Source organism: Homo sapiens, chromosome 16 (assembly GCF_000001405.40).
Source record: "Homo sapiens chromosome 16, GRCh38.p14 Primary Assembly".
In the NCBI taxonomy this organism is placed as follows: Eukaryota; Metazoa; Chordata; class Mammalia; order Primates; family Hominidae; genus Homo; species Homo sapiens.
In genome coordinates, this window is record NC_000016.10 from 62,032,653 (window position 1) to 62,055,330 (window position 22,678).

At 41.0% G+C, this 22,678-nt stretch overlaps 1 protein-coding gene and 1 long non-coding RNA gene across 6 annotated transcripts in view, besides 2 other annotated features; one reads left to right on the plus strand and one right to left on the minus strand.

Annotated features, from left to right (window-relative positions):
• CDH8 (cadherin 8) overlaps positions 1–3,786 on the minus strand; it is a 389,189-nt gene extending 385,403 nt beyond the window's left edge. For 4 of the 5 annotated variants that reach the window (NM_001796.5, XM_005255760.5, XM_047433482.1 and 1 more), the window contains exon 1: positions 3,428–3,786. The gene's annotated coding sequence lies outside the window, so the exon portion shown is untranslated. Of the gene's footprint in view, positions 1–2,430; positions 2,535–3,427 lie in introns of those variants that run through there. The other variant, NM_001410893.1, reaches the window with a different exon arrangement.
• Positions 1,587–2,088: an enhancer, noted in NCBI's record as "NANOG hESC enhancer chr16:62068143-62068644 (GRCh37/hg19 assembly coordinates)". NCBI's record gives its function as "activates a minimal SCP1, AML or CMV promoter by ChIP-STARR-seq in naive H9 embryonic stem cells {active_cell/tissue: H9 hESC(naive)}" and the evidence as "EXISTENCE:reporter gene assay evidence [ECO:0000049][PMID:30033119]".
• Positions 3,787–3,937: 151 nt separating the features above from the next.
• Positions 3,938–4,781, plus strand: LOC124903777 (uncharacterized). Its single transcript, XR_007065217.1, has 2 exons — positions 3,938–4,125; positions 4,561–4,781. It is a non-coding gene; the product is annotated as an uncharacterized LOC124903777 (long non-coding RNA).
• Positions 11,917–12,418: an enhancer, noted in NCBI's record as "NANOG hESC enhancer chr16:62078473-62078974 (GRCh37/hg19 assembly coordinates)". NCBI's record gives its function as "activates a minimal SCP1, AML or CMV promoter by ChIP-STARR-seq in primed H9 embryonic stem cells {active_cell/tissue: H9 hESC(primed)}" and the evidence as "EXISTENCE:reporter gene assay evidence [ECO:0000049][PMID:30033119]".

The window sequence follows — 22,678 nt, forward strand, 5'->3', positions numbered from 1 at the left end:
GAAAGGCTTCTCCGATTATGCTTGTCCCTTGATTTGCCAGACACAAAAGTTTGCGGATGGACCAGAAAAGTGTGGTTGGAAATACGAATTGAATGTCACTTTACCCCTTGAAAGCCTTTGGTTTTGCATGGAAAATCTGCTCAAATTGGAATGTTGATAAAGCCGTGAGGTGTGCCACCTTGAGTAGAAAAATAACAAAGATTGTCATTTTTTTCTTTAAAGCATTAATTTACCTACATTGATGACGTTTTCTGAACAGCTGTTGAAGTGTGGGTTTGAACTTTTTAATATGTGCATGTTCTTTTTCCCCACCAATAAACAATGAAAGGAACCTGGAAAGCAAAGCCCAGAGGTACAATTTCTTGAATAGAATCATTATATTCTCATTCTTTGGAGTTTCTGTGCTTTGTTCCAACAATCTGTTCCTCCTGACTAACAAGCAGTATCAGACCTTTGAGTACATTCACATCAGTCTTTACAAATGCCTTCTCAAGTGGTCTTCTCCATCCAGCTGAGCATTCCTGGGCTGTTTGTTTGTTTTGTTTTACATCGATCATGCTGCCATTGGCTACTTAAATTGTGTTCAGTGCTAATTGAGGGATTGCTATAAATGAATACTGTGTTGACCACAGTTCTACATAATACCCAAATAAAGTTGTTTTCCAGTGTAAGGAATTCCTTCCCTTCAGAGTTGACATGTCTACAGCAGGCAAATGGAACTGCTATTCTAGTGAAGACTGCTATCAAATTTTCTGTTCTTTTAGCTAAATTCATGCAGCTTCAAGAACTCAAGAAATGCATCCTACACACCAGAAATGCAGCCAAGAAATGTTACAGAGTCTTGAATGTAGAGATTTACCCATCTTGAAGGCTTTAAGAGACTGTAAATGATAAAGCAGAAGCACTGATTTCTAACAGTAATAATAATTAGTAATGTAAGAACCAATTTGCAGGGAGAATAGATTAAAAAGTTTGAATGACAGCATTACAGCACAAGTTTCAGAGCACATTAGCCAGTGTCTCTAAAACATTTGGCCTATTTGCGATGGTCAGGGGATAACTTGACATTCACTTGGGGAGTGTGGGGATCAGAATGAGGAAGGTGAACTGCCACGGAAGGGCTCTGAATGAAGCAGTCCCCGGAGTTGCTGGAAAGACTCCCCTCTCTGTTTTCAGAGGGATTTTCCTCAACTCCTCGCCTTCTTCAGAGTCCAGAAAAAAAAAAATCAAAGGCGATTTAAAATACTGTGACTGCTCCAGCATGAAATGACTATGTGACAGCGAGCTTCAAATCTGCTAAAGCAGAATTACAGAATATTATTATCAGAATTATTATTTAATAAGGGGGATAGCTCTAGAATTTATTCCAGCCACAGAGCTCGGGGAAGTGGAAAAACATGTCTGGACATGATGATTATGGAGAACTCCCTTTAAGGGAAAAAGAATGTAACCCTAAGAGAACATCCTTCAAAGGTACCACTTCTCTCTGTAGAAGAATCCCACTCCCAGCCCCCACCTCATATATATATCTCTCTCTCAAACACACACACACACACACACACACACGCACACGAAGAAATCCCTGCAACACTGGACACAGCTGATGCAAAGCAATATCTAGGCAGGGATTTTACTGGTATTTAGCATGAACGACAGGGCTCACTTTGCATGCAGTGAGGTGCAGCAGCGAGGCTGAATGGATGGAAAATCCCACTTTCGAATCTTACATAAACATCTTTCCCACATATAGTTTTCCAGTTGAAAAGCTCCTATAATAAAGCCTGAGGTGACAGCCCAAGGAGGGTTTTTAACCATTGAGATGGCTGTCAGGAGTGTTGTAAAGAGAACAGGCGCTTCAAAAGCCAGCCCCCATCCCTCGGATCTGCTTTGCGATGGTACCGGATGCGAGAGGACAGTACTCTCGCTTACCTTCCCTAGCGTCCCCTCGTTCCCATTGTCAGCCCCCAGATATCATGACGCCAGGTGAAAGAAAGCAGCTGATCTGATTAGCAGCTCGGGCGCGCTAAGGGATTGTCGAATCATGCCTCCTAAGGAGGAAACTCTTGTGGAATCTTCAGGAAAGGGTGGTAAAGTTGAAAGGACCTTTCCTCCCTCCCGCTGTCTTGGTGATAAGCTCTATCGTTTAATTGGTGCTGAAGTGAGCAGCTGCCAGCCCGATTTTCCATTACGGACTAATATTGTGCGTTTGCAACAATAAACAATTAATGTGGTTTGATTTCTTACATTTAGCAACCCAAGCAAACAGCTGCCATCTCCGCTGGTGGAGGCAAACGGCTAGTCCTTGACATGCCGCCGGCTCCGTGCCTGCGGGGGAAGGGTCAACCGCAAGGAAACTTTGAGGATTCTGCCAGACTGGGTGGGGGAAGGCTCTGGTGTTTGGGAGGAATAAGCGGAGGAAATTGTGGATACCTGTTGGCATCAGCGTTGGCGGCAGCACGTTTTTTTACCGTTTCCCAGCCTTGGCTGGATCCTGGGAGAACCGGAGTAGGTCCCTTATGAACCTCTTACGTACTGGCAGAACCTAGGCAAGAGCCTTTTTCCCTCCGATCCTGCGAGGGGCGCGACCAGCCCCTCAAAGGTTCCCGGATGAGAAGCGGCCAGACCACAGAAAGCGCAGGTCTGGGCTCAGCTGTCCCTAGGAGAGCGGCTACGGAGTCCCCGGCTTAAGGGGGCCTCCGTGCACGCAATCTCGAGTTGCGGGGAGACACTGCCTGGGGGTCCTGCAGGGGTGCTGGGCAGCGTCTTGGCGAGGGCAGAGCCGCAGGGCGACTCCGGAGCCCGGCAAGTTTGTAGCGGGCACCGCACCTCCCAGAGCTGGAGCTGCCACTTGTGGGAAAGCCTCGCGCTGGGGCTTTCGCAGCTGAGCCTTGGCCCGCAGCCCTGCCGCGGGGGTCGCCCTCCCTCGCCTCGGAGATGAGGCGGTGCAGAAAACCAGCCATAGACCACTCGGGCCCCCTCGCCTCCTTTTTTCCCTGGCTTGCACCCTCCGCACAGCGGGCTGCAGGTGCTTCCCATTCACCGCACGGACCCCGCAGTGAAGGCGCGCGGCTGCAGCCGCGCCTGCCTGCGTTGGGAAGCGGCGAAATAGCCAAGTCGCCGCAGGGAAGGAAACCGGCAGGAAAACTGGAGGGGCACAGCCTGGAGCTTGCTACTCTCTAGGATCTGTTGTCAAAGCAGTTTGCAAAAACAGTCAGGCAAAACCTTGAGGCGTACGTACGTTATCACCCACGGATATCGCGAAAGACACAGCTTAGCCCAGAGCCTATGCTAAGAACCCTCATCCACCATCTGAGGGGCAGGAGGCGCGCAAGGTGTCCGAAGGGGCATGGGAATTCCTATAAGAAACGGTCCCTTCTGGATAGTCGGAACATAGAGGAAAACGGGGGTGGGTTAGGGGAACACTTACTCTTGTGGGGCCCTGCGCTGGCGAATGTCAAGCCTCCAGGTTCACAAATGGCTGGAGGTGCTCGGGGTTAGCTCCCGAGGGCGGCAAGCGCCGACCGGTCCTCGCTCGCTAGGCAGGCGCCTCCGGATTCCGTTCATGCCTCTCGGAGCTACAGGGCTTGGTGCGGAGACGCAGGGCGGGCGCGCTGGGCTCTGGGTGTCCGCAACCCAAAGTGCAGCTGGTGTCTTGACGCTACCGTCTATGCACAAGCCGGCGGCGGCGGCGGAGCTTGGAGGAGGCAGGGAGATTCCAAATAAATCCACTAATTCTGGGCTGAGCGCTCCGGCGTGCGAGCCCGCCTGCCTGCCAAATGTAACTGTGAAGTGATGTGGAAAAGTGAGCCGGGTGCCTCCCCTGACGGATCTCATTGGGCAGAGCGCAGAGGCAGGTCTACCACTTGGAAATTCATGTAAGCAGTCCCCCCTCCCCGCCCCCTCCCCGCCTTCCCCCTTCGCTCTCCCGCGCTGGCTCGATCGCTCTCTTTCCCCCTACCCAAGTGGGCGCACAACTTTTCGCTCCTCGCTCCCGAGCAAGCCCCGCGCGTCTCTGCCGCCAGAGCCACGAGGTGAAGATGCGCCCTTCCGCGCGGTGCGCGCAGCCCGCTGAGGACCGAGCTCCTGGATAAGTGGGCTGGCAGATAATAACAGCATGCGGATGAGGTACCTGCGAGCTTTCTCTCTAGAGGTCTCACCTGAGCTCTGGGGCTGGCGTTATGTTGAAAAGCGTCTCAGTGACCCGCAGCTATTTTCCGTAGGAGGAAGAGGACGCGACAGGGCAAAGGGTTGAGCGTGGGCAGCTTACCTCCTCTTTATTCCAAGGGCCTCTTGCGTACAGAATAGGGTGATTGTGAGACCCCTGCCTGCAACTCAGACGCTATGTAGAGGCTGTGTGTCGCGGTTCTGTGATGGAGCGCATTCCTGATGTCCCCGTGCTCCTTTGGGAAAATGGGATGAGGGACAGCAGAGTGGCAGCCAGGAGGGGCGCGCAGTAGTTGGTTGTGGGGAGGAGGGCAGGCAAAGCAGAACTTGCTTGGGAAATAGGGGAGGAATTTCTAGGTCTTCTCAATGTGCCCTGATCTTGTCATATCCTCTCAGATACCATCCTTGCGGTTCTCCTGCCTCCACCAAGACCTGCCCTGTCTGTGGTCACTTCAAGTCTTCTGATGGGCTGCGCTCAGATCTTGAGAAATGGCCACCCTGGGGTAAAAGGGACCATGAATCAGGAGGTCCAGATTTCTTTTCTTTTTCAACACTGGGGCTAACATGTAGACGATGCCACAGTCATCATCTTCTAATAAAATTAGATAAATATAAGACAAATAAATTCTTACCTTAAAAAAAAAAACCCTCCCCTCCACAGGAGATCCCGATTTAGTCCCTTCCCTGTGTGCACTAGACGTGAGCCTGAGGGTGGATTTTACCATCTGGGGACAGAGCAAGAACAGAAGGGGGAAAAAGGTGCAGGGGACAAGACGCACAGTCTGTAGAGCTTGTACTGTCTCACTCAAATTAATGAGAAAGAGTGAACAGAATGAGAAAATAGGCACAACATGCTTATGATATTTATGCAAATTTGACATTTTTTTGTGTGCTGCATCTGACAACCCATTGTGAAATGTGAAAAAGAGTATTGGCTGTAGCTCTAATATCTGATTGTTTCATGTTCTAGCTGTCATAGGCAAGAAACTTAGTGGATTATTTCAGAGAGGGAGAGGTGAAGAGAACCAAGTGGTATTTTTTTTCCCCCAGGCAGTCACTAAGTAACTGTTTGTTCTCTTCTCAGACTGTGTCTGCTTACAGGGTATTGGAATTGGCTAATTCTGTCTTGGAAAAAGGAGCAGCAGTCAAGGCTCAATCAAATTATAACTGCTGCTAGACCAGACAGTCCCAAGTGGACAAAGAAATAGATCACATTTTGGGTTGTGCTTAATTTCAGATATTCATTTTCACTTGAACAAATAATTTGAACCGTTCCTTGGGGTAACTTCTTACATCTATGAAAACTCAAAAAAACTCATGTGCTACTGAAAGCTGGGGATTGTCACAAGTAACAAACTTGTCTCAAAAAAAAAAAAAAAAGCCAGATTGTTAGACAATATCCTCAAATCTCATTTTCTTAACAAACTATGCTGACATAGTAAAGATAGTCAGAATCCAATGGCTTTTAAAGAGAGCCAGAATCCAATGGCTTTGGGTATCTAGGGTTAAGAAGAGTTTGCTTTGACTCATCTTGTCCATATTTACTCTTACAGCAGTTATATACATTGTCTTCCCTGAATTTTGGTCCTCTGGAATTCAGGGTAACCTGTCTATACCTGCTAATATCTGCTCAAAGCGTTACAATAGGAATTTCCTGACTAATTCTTAAGAGAGGTTTGGATGATTAAGCAGTGTGATAGAGGATTAGGATAATGTTAGAAAGCCCTATAAGGATATTTCTAAAATAATCAGGGATGCTGAAAGACAAGGCATTTATCTCTTTAACAATTCCACCCACTCTTAATAAGATGCAGTGTAATGTCACAATGGTGAAAGCCTACCCCCTTAAGAAAGTGTTTTCTTTTCAACATCCTCTCCAGGGTTACAGCCTTCCAGCGGGAAGAGGACTGTGGTACATAGGCTTTTTAGAATGGCAAGTGAAATTGCATGTGTTGTGGAGCATTGCGGGGGAGGAAGGGTGAGGAATTATCTGATAGGGCAGGAGTATAATTGGAGAAGGAGTTGGGGGGAGGGAGAGAAGATTGCATTCAGAATAACCTTGGCTGACTAATGCAAAAAGTAGAATGAGGCAGGATGTCTCTAGCCTGGGTCTCGGTGACAGGCAGGCAGTTTTGCAGGGGAGTCTACTGTAGAGAGTGAATGAGATGGAGAGGGACTCCATGTAGTAAAATACACTTTTATTTTTTCACTATGGCTGGAATGTTTGTCGTAATTTTGACCAAGGGACACAGTAAACCAAGTGCCCAGCTAGTTGCAGAGTGGGGAATCAGATGGTTCATAGGAAACAGAGCTCAAGAAGAGGGAGACAGTGTTAGGAAGTCTCCAGCTTCTCTGGTTGGAGCAGGAGATGACAGAATGGAACATAACTATTATTTGCTGCGTTAAAATGCAATCTTTCGTCGTTTTCATTCATCAAGATAGAATTAAAAATTAAAACAAACTAAAAACAAAATGTATTTACCATATTATGATTACTGGTAACCTTTAGATTTATTGGATTGCTTGTAATGTGATATCTATGGTGCCAGGTATTATCATTTAAAATAAAATCTCAAGAATATGACATATGAAAAATGACAACTCAAATTACCATGTAATATTTTTCCAGAAATGAAGGGTCCCTTTCCTGTGTTTCATTAGGATGAAGATATCTGAAACCATGCCCTTTATTTGGGGTATGGGGCAAGGGTAAGTAATATGTAACAACTCTGGCATTAAGCTTAAGAAACTTAAATTTTATTTTGGATTCCAATATTGAAGCGTAAGTCATAAGAATTAAAACATTAAGAGAGAAGTTTTGGGGCTGGGCATGGTGGCTCACACCTGTAATCCTAGCACTTTGGGAGGCAGAGGTGGGCGGATCACAGGTCAGGAGACCGAGACCATCCTGGCTAACAAGGTGAAACCCCGTCTCTACTAAAAATACAAAAATTAGCCGGGCGTAGTGGCGGGCGCCTGTAGTCCCAGCTACTCGGGAGGATGAGGCAGGAGAATGGCGTGAACCTGGAAGGCGGAACTTGCAGTGAGCCACTCCAGCCTGGGCAACAAAGTGAGACTCCGTCTCAAAAAAAAAAAAAATAAAATAAAAAAGAAGAAGTTTTGAGAAGTTTGTAAATGTTTAAGTAAATTTAGGACAGCTTTTTTGTTTATGAATTTGCTTTAAACCATTCTCTTACTAAGATTATGAGAAGTTATTATGGTGCTCTCATTAAACCAATGTGAGCAATTCTGGAGATTCCTTTAGACGAGTGGTTTTCAACCTGCAATCCGTGGACGAGCTCCTGCCTCAATATTTTCTGGAAATTTGTTAGAAATGCAAATTCTTTGACCCTGAATCTGAGTGGGGCTCAGAAATCTGGGTTTTAACAAATGTGCTAGGAGATTCTGTTACCTGCTAACATCTGAGAACACTGCTTTAGGCAATTTCTTTCTCTTGTGACATGTATAAAGATGAGAAGGAAAAAAATAAAATAGTGTATTGTGTTAATATTTACTGTTTTTGTCCCAGAATATTCTGTTTTAAGACAAAATACTATCTTAAAAAACAAGATTTGAAAAGAAGAATAAAAATGTAAGCACACTAAATTTATCGTCTGAGTACCTCACTAATGTTTAGTATGGGATTTGAAAAACTAAATTGATTTCTTTAGAAGTAGTTATGAATTCTTGACATAAAATCATCATTGAGCTTGCTATTCAGAGTTGTGATGCTCTACATTTCTTGGCTTGCTGGTTTTAGCTGTCCCTGAAATTAGGCCTGCATCTCTGAATATTGACTATAATTACTAATCTTGAGTTTGTCATTATACTTTCAGTAAATGGAGGTGTAAACACTTTCTGAAAACCACATCTGTGCTGAGAGCATTTTGGAGAAGGTTTTCAAAATGGCATTATCTTCCATCTTCCCAGGTACTAGAAAAGAGATAAGCTTCAATTCAGCTTCTGAACAGAAACTTGGTCGGACGGGCGGCGGGTGGGGTAGTAAATAGATTTAAGAGGACTGATACAAAGCTATCAAATAAGCCAGTCCAGGTTTTGTGGACTACACACTTAGCATATTAGTGTTTGGGTTTTTCTCTATCTTTTTTTTTCTTCTGTAGGAGAATAGCAACTAGATTAAGATTCTAGACCACTCTTGTTTAACTTAGGAGAAAAAAGGAGGAAAAAATTAAAAATAGTTCCCAATGTGTTCCAAGTAAAAAGAAGAAAGAAGAAAAAAGAGTAAGAATAAAAAAAGAAGAAAGAGGAGTAAAAAAGGTACCCCACTCCCTAAAATACTACTACTTTGGTATAACAGAGTGTATTTCATACTAAAATATAATAATTACATTTAATTAATTTTAAGTTTGGCTTAGAAGATTACCATTATTTGATATTTGCACACTTATACTAATGTGCCATTGCAGATATATAGGGGAATACAGATGTATGGAGGAGGGGAGGTGAAGGGAAAACAATTATCTTAATATGTGCAAAATGGAATTTATAGTTGTGATTAGTTATCAAGATGCTTATTAGAGAGAAGACCACATGTATATGCAGCGGACAAATGTTACAAGATATTGAAGGGAAATTAATTATTGAGAATGTGAACAGGCTTCTTTTATTAGTCAAAGCTGGATAATACTAAGGATTTTTGTTTGTTCTTTTGCTAAAGATGCTGCCATGTGGAAATCAGGGCACTGCTTTTAGGTTGCCGTCTCCCGCCTGCATAGGCAACTAGTCCTGTTAGAATGGATGCCGAAGCTTTTTTTCTTCTACCTCAAGTGCCCTCTAGCGTGCAATATCTGTGCATGTTGCTATGTACAAGGAGGAGGAAAGAAGAAAGAAAGAGAAATATTCTACCAATTGCTATCCTAATTCCTGAATTGCTCTGCTCTTCTTTTCTCCTTCCTCAAAGGGGTCATTTCCACCTAAGTGTTTAGCAAAACAAAAAAGGTGCTGTTGCTTTTGCATGAAAAACTAATCACTCATTCTCTAAACTGAGAAACAAATGCTAATCCTTTCTCAGGGGTTTCTTTTGAACATTCATCATAATTTTCCAGAAGTTTCATACACTCTAGTAATCAGGCAAATAAAAGAAGGTAAGTTGCTCCCTAGGAAGAAATTCTGTTTTGTTCCTCACTCCACCACGGACCAGCTATAAGGCTTTTGATGCAAAGTGATTAAACTTTCAATGGATTTTAAGTTTGTGTCTCCATAAGAGTGCATAATACTTCTTTCCATCCTCAGGGGGGTGGTGTGAGGTCTAACTGAGGTTTATAAAACAATTTCAGTTCCTTAGATACAATTCGATACACATTTGAACTTGACTTTCATCTTGCAACTACTAACGGGGTTTCAAATTCTCTTTGGTAGTCCATAGGGAAACTGTGATCAGGATCTGTATTTTCATAAACATGTCGTTAAAACAGCTGTATTGTAAATAGTGGATTTACTTAAGAGATTTGGAATGGTAGAAAATGGAAAAGGATATTTGCAGAAGAAAAATACACTTGTTTTTGCAAACATGTCTGTGTATGGATAAATATAGTTAAATAGTAAGGCAAAATTTCTGCAAGACATACATTTGGGCATATCTTCCTAAATTTTAAAACAAACTAACAATAACAGAAGGTATTTTTACTCACCCAGATGCCACCCGCTAAACTCTTAGTCTCTGAGAAAGGAGATACCTGTAAACAAATTTATGTATTGGCATCTGTTCAGATGGTAAGATATCTAGACACCTGTTATATAACTTGGAGATTACTATTATAGTGATGTGATTATTATGCAGCATTGTGTTTTATTAATATCCTCATAGCTACAATACTTTGAAGGGCAAGAAAGGAGAAAGGCAAGCTAACATGACATATTTCATTACTTTCTTCTCATGCAGTATCTCTTTAATTATTAAAGCACTATAGATGGTGGCTATCGTTTGTATCCTTTAAAATAGGAGAAAACTGAGGCTCAGAGAAGTTAAGTGATTTGTTCAAGGTTACACAGTTAATAAGTCAAAGAGTATAATTTAAACCCATGTTTTCCAACTTCAATTGTTGTCCAGCACTGCCTCTCAATATTAAACTACTAATAAGTGACTATTATAACCTACTTTTAAATAATGCAATACCTCACTATAGAATGGATTCATAAGTTGCAATGAAAAAGAAGCTAAACATTCTGTGTTTACAAAGAGAATCTGAATCTTTAATTGCAAGTGATTTTGTAAATATAGATCCCAGATTCCATGGCTAACCAATTAAATTAAACTCTCCAAAATAATGTGTATTTTTTTTAGAAAGCAAAAAAGGTAATTTGATTCAACATTACAAGCATCATTCTGGAGACCATTTGGAAATAATGAAACCAAATGACATCTAAAGTCTTGTTAACCTCCTTACTGCTAGAGTCCAAGGTTAAGTCACAGTTCTGCTATTGCTATTTAGGTTTGTATATCCCTTTATGTATGTTCAAGCACATCAGCTCTCCTATGTGATCCTTGCCATAATCTTGTGAGGTGAGAAGACGATATATTATTACTTCAATTTTATACAGTTACATGCTTTTAGAGCCCAAAGGGCCCTTAGAAATCGTCTAGTTCAATCTCTTCATTTTACAGAAAAAAAGCTGGGTAAGGCTTTTGACTTCTGAGCCTAAGGTTACAGAGCGAGCTCTTGAACAAAAGAAAACCAGAGCACAGGTCATTGGTCTTTAAAGGATGTAGGCATGGCACATGTCCCTGCACATGGGAAAAATTATTAAGCTAATAACCTGAGTAGTCTTCAACATGTAAAGTTAAAAGACTAGAGAAAACAAAACAAAATGTAGTTCAGGTACTCTGATCCAAATTAATGTTGTCTAGAGAAGATCTACTTTCTGATCTAGTTTCTGGTGAGATTACCTTGGCTCTCATCACCTAGTCTCTGTTCAGTCTAATAATATGTCTTGTCTTGGTTGAATTATTTTAGTACCCTAGAGTCTAGCTCACTAAGGTAGCCCCAAAGCTTTTTTCCAAGCAGATCACATGTGCTGTAGATTTTTGAAGCGAAGATTATTAGGAAATCAGAGGAAGACCACAACATAAGAAAAACAAAAAGTGCTCTCATATGCTCTAATGTACTGAAACTTTCACTGGTCTTTTCTGATAAGAAACCCAAACAGAAACCATAACTCATTTAAAATGGAGGTATGTAAGACTGACTCCTACATTATCCCAAAGCAGAGAAAAGCCGAAGTACATGACTTGTCCAAATTAGGAAACCTAATGAATTTTTTCTCATTTCTCCATTTTGCATAATAGTATTCTGGCTTTCTTCCCCAAAACAATCTCATTGTGTCCAAGCAGGGAACACCTTATTTTTCACTGGATTGTTTTCTGCCCCCAAATTACATAAGGCACATAATCACTTTTCTGGAATAGAAAATGATAATAAATGGCACTAGCAGTTGTAATTGGTATTCTTAACATCGAGGGCTTAATATCTTGCCAGGCACTATAGAGACTGATTTACATATGTTGTCCCATTCATTGTCTCTAATAACTCCCTGATTTGTCAGATGAAGAAACTGTGAAGGGAAATGTATTTTGCTTCTCTAAATCCCAATTAGACTTCTGCTTATCTCTCCCATATCACTTTATAATACAACCTATTTGTCATGTATGCACCAGCCAAACTACTTTATTTTTCTCAAGACTTTGAAAATGGTTAACTCCTTTATTTGTTGGTGGGAGAGTAAAACCTGCAAGGAAGAGCAAGGCATTTGGAGTCATATAGATCTGATTTCAAGTTCTGGCTGAACACATTACTAGCTCTGTGATATGGTTTGGCTGTGTCCCCACCCAAATCTTATCTTAAGTTTTAGTTCCCATAATCCCCACATGTCCTGAGAGGGACCCAGTGGGAGATAATTGAATCATGGGGGTGTTTACCCTCATGCTCTTCTCATGATAATGAGAGTTCCCATGAGATCTGATGGTTTTATGAGGAGCTTTTTCCCCATTTGCTTGGCACTTCTCCTTGCTGCTGCCTTGTGAAGGACATGTTGATTTCCCCTTTCACGATGATTATAAGCTTCCTGAAGCCTCCCCAGCCATGCCAAGCTGTGAGTCAATTAAAGCTCTTTCCTCTATAAATTACCCAGTCTCAGGTATGTTTTTATTAGCAGCATGAGAATGGACTAATACACTCTGTAAGTTGAACCAGCTGGTTAACCATGTTGATAATCTCTTTGAGTCTCATTCGCCTTTGTGTATAAGATATTTAACTCACAGGTTGTTGTATTAAAGGATGCAATGAAAGACAAATGTCTAGTTTTTGATATACATGTTGGTTTCCTCTCAAGTGAGCCCATTGATACTTACCTAAGAAGAGCAGATGGTTAGAGAATAGGTCCTTCTGTGATACCTACAGCTTGGCCACTCCTCTTAGAGTACCATTCTGTCTTGTGGCTACTGGGCATTCAGGCATTCATTCCACTCTCAATTAGCCCTTTAAATGTTCCACCGTTCTCCAGTATTTTCAGGGCTCCAGGCAAACCCTCCTTTCATCCTCCAAATCATCGTGTTCTAAACAGTTAATTCCTTGCACATGTAACAGCATATTTTCCTGGGGAATAAAATTGTGTTTTGTATTTTTTTTCTTTTTTTTTTTTTTTTTGAGATGGAGTCTCGCTCTGTTGCCAGGCTTGAGTGCAGTGGCACAATCTTGGCTCAATGCAACCTCCACCTCCTGGGTTCAAGCCATTCTCCTATCTCCACCTCCCGAGTAGCTGGGACTACAGGCACGCGCCACCACGTCCAGCTAATTTTTGTATTTTTAGTACAGACGTGGTTTCACCATGTTGGCCTGGATGGTCTTGATCTCTTGACCTCGTGATCCGCCTGTCTTGGCCACTCCCAAAGTGCTGGGATTACAGGTGTGAGCCACGGTGCCCAGCCAAAATTGTTTTTTTGTTTGTTTGTTTGTTTGTTTGTTTGTTTTGATTGTTTCTCTCTCTATTCCTTTTCATTAATATGAGACTAAAGGCAGCTAATGTTAGAAGAGGGATTGCTTCAGTTTCATAGTCTAGTAAATAAATATGGGTTAATATTTTGTATTTAATGACCTAAAGAAGAAATAAGGGAATCCTGAGGCATAAATGAGAGAAAGGAAAGTGTTAGGGCCAAGATCCTTGTGGGAGGAGAGGTCTTCTGTTTTTACAGGGAAACAGGCTCTGATACCAGTTTGCAGTCTGGAAACCACTCAAACTTACAGATGGAGGAAAAATCTGGCCACTGATCTTCATGCTAGCATTCAGAACATCTGGTGGGTGTGTTCTTGACCAGTCCAGGGCTACAGATGAGAAGTACCCTCTGAACAATGGATCTTCCTCATATCCATTTCCCCATTGATGAACTCTGTTGAGATTTTTTTTACCTATTCAGTTACCTGGAAGCTGTGGATCTTGGAGACTGGGTCTTAACCAGCCTTATACATGGGAAGGTCTCAAAGGAAAAATCTGGATGGAAATGCCTTGGTTGGAGCTGAAGAAGAGGGTCTGGCTTGTCCAAGAACTAGCAAGAACACTGTTTTTTGGCATAGATTTTAGGGCTCTTTGGATATGCATGGTTATGGTGCTGCTGGTGATTATAAAGGGGCTCAACCCCTTTACTCCAACTCCTTGGACTTGCCAGGAAGCTTGGCTCCATAATCTGGGGATTCAGTTGGGATCAGCTTATTGAACAGACCCCGAGCATAGAGAAATGACTTTTCCTCTCTTAGGCTACCTCCTTATGAATAGTGGCCATCTTATCTTCTAGATGGATCATAAATATGACATGTACTATTAAGTTTTCACTTACATCCATGCTTCCTCACTTGTAAGTCCTACTATGCCTTGCGCATATCTACAGCATCAGTCTCGATACACTGTCCTATAACTTTATGTTTATTTATCTTCCGCCCTCACTAGATTGATTTCGAACTCCATGAAAGCAGAGTCGATTATCCATATCTGTGTATATCCATATCTGTGTATCCCAGATCTAGCCCAAAGCCTCATATGTAGTCAATGTTCAGAAATTATATTATTTAAGATAACAAACCAATGAATATGACTGCAAGGATAACTATGGCACTATTGTCAGCAGTTAGCTAGAAATAGATCCAGATTTGGAGTTAAGAAAAATCAGATGGCCCAGCAGATTGGTGTGGGGAGCTCAATGAGAAAAACAGATTTCTCTGGAAAAGAAAGAAGGAGTAAAGAGGATGGCAAAATAAAGTGAAAAAAAACAAAACCAGAAAACTCAATCTTCTGGAGCAAAAATAAAACAGTGAAGATTAAGAGTGAACACAGGGGAACAATTCAAATTCCAAATGATGATTTGCATAATGGTAATACTAGTAGCAATAATAATTATAATGACACCAAGAATCAGTGAGAATCCATCTGTTTCTTAGTGCCTCATAATTTAGTACCTCAGTGTTTACAGAGCAATTTCTCATTCAGGATGTAAATGATCCCTCAGGCAGAGTATACTGCCTCCATTGCCTTAGACTCACAATGGTCATCTCATTCCAAAGATAGAGCGCTAAAATAGATTCCCAGAGTGCCTTCTTCCTCCAGAGCTAGGAGTTTCCTTTAAGACCAGAGAGAAGTATTTTATTCATTTATCTTTGAATCCTCAGTAGCACAGAAGAGATGCTCATACATTTTCGTTGATTTATCATCTTATATCTATCCCACAGCAAGCTCCAAGATAAATAGGTCCTGTCCTGTACCCCCATTTTTTAGATGAGAAAACCAGAGACATTTGGTCAGAGTTGAAGTTGGAAAACAAATCTGAGATTTTTGAAGACATTGTTTTTTTTTTCTGCAGTGCCATAGTATAGCCTAGAAAGATTACCAAGGTCACATTGCTTAATAATTACTTGTTTTCTGTTAGCAATTCTAAGAAAGCACATTCCTTTAGTATTCATATAGAGGACTAAAGAAATCTCATGTCAAAGTTACCACTTCTTATGCTTTGCAAGGATCAAGGACAAGGCTTAACACTTTTGAGTCAGTCTTGAGCACCTAAAGCACTCTTTTAAATTTTGAAGTGATGGAAAACAGGAAAAGCTTTTTGCATCTGGATGTAAAAATCCATGTGTATTTTAAGGGAAATAGGATCCATGCATTTCTGATTAATTTACACTTAAATCAATGAAGTGTTTTGCAAAAGATATTTGATGTTCAAGAAGCCTTTTTTAAAAAGTCTAATGGGACTTTAAAGCTGTTTTTGTCTTAAGAAGAGGAACTTATTTTTTCCCCCATGATCTTATACACAAATGGTATGGTTTCAAAGTCTCATTTACAGAATCTTTTTGCTTTCAAAATCTTTCCATTTACCCCTACCCAGAGGTAGCTAACCTGGATTTGATTATGATTAGCTTTATCTATCTATTATTTATTCATTATTTTGTCAGTAGCATTCTCAAGGAAACAGGCAGATATATTTGGGGAGACTGTCAGAATATTGGATGTGATCTTCTTCCTCATAAACAAAAAAGCCTCAGAAGTTTCTAGCAAAATGGAGGACTGAATGAATTACACAAGATACGATTATCATGTGGAGGAAGAAGATGTAAAACAATGGCTGAGGATAGAGGCTTGGAACCGATGCTGTCTTCATGTTTGTAGAGTAGATAAAACCAAAAGAAAATGTGTTTGGGGGTGATGGTAACTAGAATTAGTTGAGCAACCACTATATGTTTGAGTTTTTCAGAATGCTGTTCTATTTAATCTACTCAATTGTTAGGAGATACAGATGTTATTAATTCCATTTTTTAGATGAAGGATGTAAGACTCAGAAAGAGATATTGACTTCCCTAAATCACACACGTGGTAGGCGGCGAGTGTAGGATTTCTACCTGTGTTTTCCCTTCAGACCAAACTTTTTAGAAGACCTCAGCATTTGTCATGCTGCAGGTAGTGAGTCCCCATGGCGATTTCTGATGGGACAGAGATGTGGAAAATAAATAGGTGGGAAAGTTACTTTCTTTCCAATTTTCCTTCAACCCTCTGATTTTTGTCAAGAGAGAACATTTCAGTTCCCTGCCAGTGCTGATCTCTCTAACAAGGCCAATGCTGGCCTCAGGTTCAGAGCCTTAAGCGGACTCCAAGTACCTTGTTAGAATTGAAGAACATTGTTTTGCATTCATTCAATTCATTTCTAAGTTTACCTTGTATTTATGGCAAGTAAAAATAATTTTCTTGTTTTTAGGCATGAATATAAAGTTTTCTTTCAAAACAAATGTTTATTTTATGTTTTTAGAGAAATAAGTTGATTAAAATATTTTATCACACAGATGGTGCACAGACAAAAAAAGACAGCACTGTATATATGACTGTAGCTTGGGGAGAAATAGTTATATTTAAAAAAGTCCTTTCAAAATAACATTATCAAGTAAATTGTCCACTTAAACTGGGAAGTATACACATTTAAAGTAGTATTCCTGAGCTTAAAGTTTCATTCAATATTGAATGTTTCATATTACTTTCATTTCCTGTAAAATCATCTCCAAAAATATAAATGTTAGGTCTAGAAGTTACAAAGAATTGGAACAGTATAACCTATTCCAGTGGACATTGCAGAAATGGTTTTAGTCTTCAGCTACCATTCAGATACAAACAGAATTATAATATTGTATCTCTGCCTGCCTTCCTCCCCACCAACAATATTTCAAAACAATAATCATCATCTTCACTTAACATCCTGGACATAGGTTAATGGGAATTCTGCTGTAGTTTCTTTTTTTCACAGAAGGCTGAGTTAAAATAAATCAAATAAATCTTCCCAGTGTACACATTTGAAGCAGAGTATGTGAAAACAAACTAAAACCTACTTCCAAGTTTTGTGACTATTTTATTTGGTTTATCACCCAATTTCATTTGGGGAGACATTGTGGTCCTCTTCAATAAAAGTTTATTTTTATTTTTTCTCCTTGCCATTGCAAAGGGAAGTCAAAATATTGCTCATAAAGTGTGAATGTCTTTATGAACAGCTGATAGATATCAAGGAAATGCTCTGAGGATTAGAAGGTGATTTTGTGACAAAATATCTACTTTCTCTAAATAGTACCTTCAGTAGCTTTATAGCAAATATTGCCGAAGAAAGAGAATATAAATCGCTTAAATCCCCCAAGACTTAATACTGAAGAATCATTTATGTTTTTCTTTTGTTTGAATTACTAACACTGTACTGAGTAAGGAAAAAAAAAAACACTTTACAAAGAAAAGTGAACAGAGAGAGGGTGTGGAGGGTGCTACGCACACAGTACTAAACACTGGGTCCCTTTTTGATCATTGGTTTTGCATGATGTATTCAGGGCCTTGGAATTTGGGGTGCTTCTGTGGGGATATTCACAATTGTAAACGATGCACATCTTTTATCATTGCCAGATGTGAAATATACAATTTTGGAAATGTACCAGTTTGGAGTCAGAAAATCTAGGATGTATTCTGGGTCCTGTCGCTAGAGATAGGACTTTTAAAAAGTAAAATAGCAATTGTTCTTTTTTCGCTTTGATTTGTTTCTCTTTTAGAGATGAGTTTCTGGTAGTCACTATTTGACAAATTGTAACAGAACCCTCCCCATTTTCCTTTCTACTTGCCCTGTGAATTTGTTCCTGCTGGTTGGATCAGTCAAGATGGGAATGCTAATTTATTACAGCAGTCTTTTGTCAATGTCACTTTTATATGTATACAGTGCTTTCACCTCTCCTTTTTCCTTTTTCTGTGGTCACACCTCCGCTAACTCTCAGTAAAAGATTGCATTTAACTCTCTGAACCTGGGGTTCTTCATCAGTAATCGGGAAGAAATTACCCTTGTCTCACCTCTCTCACTGGATTTTAGGAAAATTCCAATAATATGAAATCTATGTGGCAAAACTGCTAACCCTAAATACACGCACACACATACACACACACACAATGTTACAGTCATTTATGTTAACAGGTGAAGTCAAAAGCAAGAAAGAAAAATTTTTCCTGTTTGTCAGAAATTTTGGGTCTAATGTTGTGCTGTGGTTTGGATGTTTGGTTGAAATCTGATCCCCGGTGTTGGAGGTGTAGCCCAGTGGGGGGTGTTTAGGTCCTGGAGATGCATCCCTCATGAATAGATTAACACTTCTTCCAGGGTGAGTTCTCTCTCTGTTTGTTCCCCTACTACTGCGGGTTGATAAAAAGAGCCTGGCAGCTCCCCACTGTCTCTTGTTTCCTCTCTTGCCATGTGATCCCTGCACACATCAGCTCCTCACCTCCCCTTCACCTTTTGAAGCAGTCTCATTGCCTGGAGTAACACCCAAGGTTTGTTGTCTCAAGGCCATGGAGAACAAGGACGTGGACACACAAAGAGTGAGGTTAAGAGTGCAAGTTTAGGCCGGGCACGGTGGCTCACGCCTGTAATCCCAGCACTTTGGGAGGCTGAGGCGGGTGGATCATGAGGTCAGGAGATTGAGACCATCCTGGCTAACATGGTGAAACCCCGTCTTTACTAAAAAAAAATACAAAAAGTTAGCCAGGTGTGGTGGCAGGGACGTGTAATCCCAGCTATGCAGGAGGCTGAGGCAGGAGAATGGCATGTACCCAGGAAGTGGAGCTTGCAGTGACTGGAGATGCACCACTGCACTCCAGCCTGGGCGACAGAGTGAGACTCCACCTCAAACAAACAAACAAACAAAAAAAGAGCAGAAGTTTAGCAGGGGAAAGAAAGAGAATAGCTCCCTGCAGAGAAGGGTCCCAGAAAAATGGGTTGCCAGGTCCATGGTGAAATGCAGGGGGTTTTATAAATGAGCTGGTGAGGAGGTGGTGTCTGATCTACATAAGGTGTAAAAAACTGGTTGGACCAGGTGTGTCATATGCCTACGGTGTGAATCTCTGGTAATCCCACCCTAATCGTTTATACAGGCAGGTTCTCTGCCTGAGCTGTGCCATGTTGCCCATTTCTTTATTACTGTACATGTGGTAACAAAAAAAAAGGAAGATGGAGCCTCCATGTTGGACATACCAGGCCCCCAGGTAACCCTTTTCTATTGGCGCCGCTGCCGGCATTCCCCCATGCAAGCTTCTGGCTTCCTTATTTGTTTGCAGCTCAGTTTTTCAGGCTGCTCTTTGTTAGAAAAGAAATTATTTTGGTGGCTGTTTTTGTTAGAAGGGAAGCTCTGCTGAGGACTTCTTTACCTTCACTATCTGCCTAAATAATTTCTTTCTATCTCCTCTATCACTTTTACTATAAGTGGATGCAGCCTGAGGCTCTCACCAGATGCAGATGCCCAATCTCGAACTTTCCAGCTGTCAGAATTTGAGCCAGATAAACCTTTTTCCTCTATAAATTGCCCAGCCTCAGATATATTCCTTTGTAGCAACACTAAACTAAGACATATTGTATCTGTCATCTTCCATAACGATATTACACATAGACAGAGAGAGTGGGTACCACGTTATATGTGCGGGAGCCAAAATCTCCCTCATCAGCAGACATACTTGTCTGGCTTGCCATTCTCTTTGAAAATTTCACCATGAACATTTCTCCTTATAAGCAAAAGCATTATATGAATACTTGGTAGTAATAGTGTTTATTTGTTTGATTAACCCACTAGAAGTTCAGTGTCTTATTAATGTATAGATAGTGTATCTATGACTACATCTACCTGACTACTCACTTTTATCAAGTATGTATTAAATCTCATTTTGGTTTCTACTTAGTATCAGGTGCAGCTAATTGGGAAATGAATGAGACAAGATGCCCTCAAAATCTCAGTCAAGTGGCAGAGACAGACATTGTGAACACATGATCTTGGTTCAACAGCAGCTCTCAAGTCCTGTACAGAATGGATTGATGGTAACAGCGAAGGCATAGGAGTCCGAGAAGATCCTTGGAAATACCTCTCTGAATAACCTTGTAACCTTCTAACCTTGTGTCATTTAACTTCTCTGACACATAGTCGGGTGTGGCTGGAGTGTAGAATACATGGGAGAGTATAAGAAGTTGGAAGATCACGTGCCAAGAAAGTTAAATTAGCCAACTCATGAGGTTCTCATCTTCCAGGCTGAGAAACTTGGACATTAGTCTACCAGGCCTCTTTCGTGTTGAAAAATATCCAGGAGGTGTATATATATATCACCTCCGTGATAGCTGTTAAAAATATATAGCCCTAGAGGTTGGGTGAAGTGTAGATGTTATAAGGGACAATGGAAGGCAGGAATACGATTTAAGAGGTAATTGCAATACTAACAAAAAACAGCAAACATAAAATAGAACTTTTATAAGTGCTTTAAGCCATTGACTACACATACATAGGTACCTCATACCTATACCTATAATAAGAATACCTTAGGATACAGGTACTTATGATACAGGTATTCTTATTGTCTTTTGTAGATCAGAAGTGTGAGCTAAAGGGAAGTTAGGTAACCTGCTCATGATCACACAGTTAGAGTGCCTTCAGAAATCTTACTTTTAACAATTACGTTATACTGCAGTAGTCCAGGTGGGAAAATAGGAGGGCCTGAACTAAGCTGAAGCATTATAAGAACATGCTTTTTATGTGAATGCACATTTTGGACTTGCTATCTCTGTGCCTATGATATCGTTTGTACCTCCAGAACAGGCACTCTGAATTGTATAAATTATTGTTATCTTTATAGTGTTTTAACACAGCCTTCTTTAGTGCTTGGCAAACAGCTCATGCACATTTAGCAAGTGCACCAGGGTGATGGGAGTCAGAGGCATCAGTAGATTCTGTCTACAATTTGAAGTATACGACTCCACTGCAACATGAGACTCCAGGTATTGCCAGGCAGACATGCAACAGTGCCCATTGCTCTTGCCTTCCTCCATCATCGTTGCTCATTGCTTTAACCTAGAATTTCTTGTTTACTTTCCCTTGCAGTTTATGCATATGGACATCTTGCTTGACCTCCAAGGTCCAGTCAGCTGATGAGACAACTGCTATAAGAATTATTTGCAATCTCTGCCCATCCACAAACTCTCCACCATGACTACTGCACTTAGAGCACTCTGCAGTATTTTCCAGATGTCTGTTATCTGTCCTGTCACACCTAGCAAGCGATCTGGGAAAACAGGGAGCATCTATGATTTTAACGAAGTATTAACTACACACAAGGCAATATGCAATAAAGAAAATAAAATGTCTTGAAGGATTGTGAACATATGGGAAATGATAAGTGACTGACAGAGTTTAAATTGTGTGGATGGTATACCTATAGCTTAAGTCAAACAAAGTTTGTCCCACTAGATTTTCACACATAGTATAGTGAATAGAGAAGATATGAGTGGATAATTTCCTCACAGTGTATAATTTCCTCAGCCTGATGTCCACAGCCTTTATAATCTGCCTCCAACTTCCTTTTACTAACCAATCTCTCATAACCTCTGTGTGAAACTTTCTCTCCACTCACTCTGAACTTAGTGCTTTGGTTTACTAGATTTTTCTTTAAATTTTTTTGTCTATGGCAGTTATTGCAGATACCTCTTGCCATGCTGTAACCAGAGCAGACCCTTCTAATTGATTGTGACTTAGTATGGAAGCATTTTTAAGATTTATCTCAGGGCAGCACTTAAGACAGCCACCAAAAATCATTCAGAATTTGACAATTAGATTAACTTCCTTTGCCAAATAAGCTTGCATGCTTCCTTCAGCTTGAAATGGCCAACTTCATTGGTCTCATCATTAGGAATCCTGCTAATTCACGTCCTCCATGAAAACGTCCTGATTTCCTCAATTCATGGGGAATTACCCCCTCAGACCTAATGTATCACAGGTCTACAACATTCAGAAAATCCTTCTCATTTGTTCCCTAGTCTGCCTCCTTAGCTGTTGCAGTCACAGCCACCTGTTTGCATGACCTTACCTGTCTACTTCTTTTTGGGGTAAAAATGCTCCTTATATTCCTTGTGGCACTCATATAAGCCTAGCACTTAGTAGGAGTTCAGCGAAACTGGAATAACAGAGATAACCAACTGATGGGTGGGGAAAAAAGCAAACCCGAAGAGACGCTGATCAAATTTAGTATAAACCAAGACAATGGAAAGTGAAGAGAGAGTGGATTGACAGGGCCATTATGTAAGTTAATTTGCTCTAAGATGTCAGCCCCATTCTTGGCTTTTCCTGGCTTTCAATCTGCGTGAACTCCTTGTCCTGCAGACAGACAGACAGCTTCAGGGTGGATTAAATAATCAGTCAAGTGAGAAGAGCATCTCCCAATATGTCTGCAAAGACACTTCTATTTCAAGAATGATTATTAAAAGCCACAAGGAAGACAGTGATAACACAGTTGAAACATTGACTTACTGATCAAAAGAGACACTAATACGCACTCCTTAAGGGAAAGAGTTAGATTTTAACATGCATACAAGCAAATCCCTTTGCTCCTTCTTTTCCATTCTGCATTGTCACACAAAAATCCCATTTCTGATACTCTCATTTTGGCTCACGGCTTTTCTGCAAATAGTTTAATTTGTGCT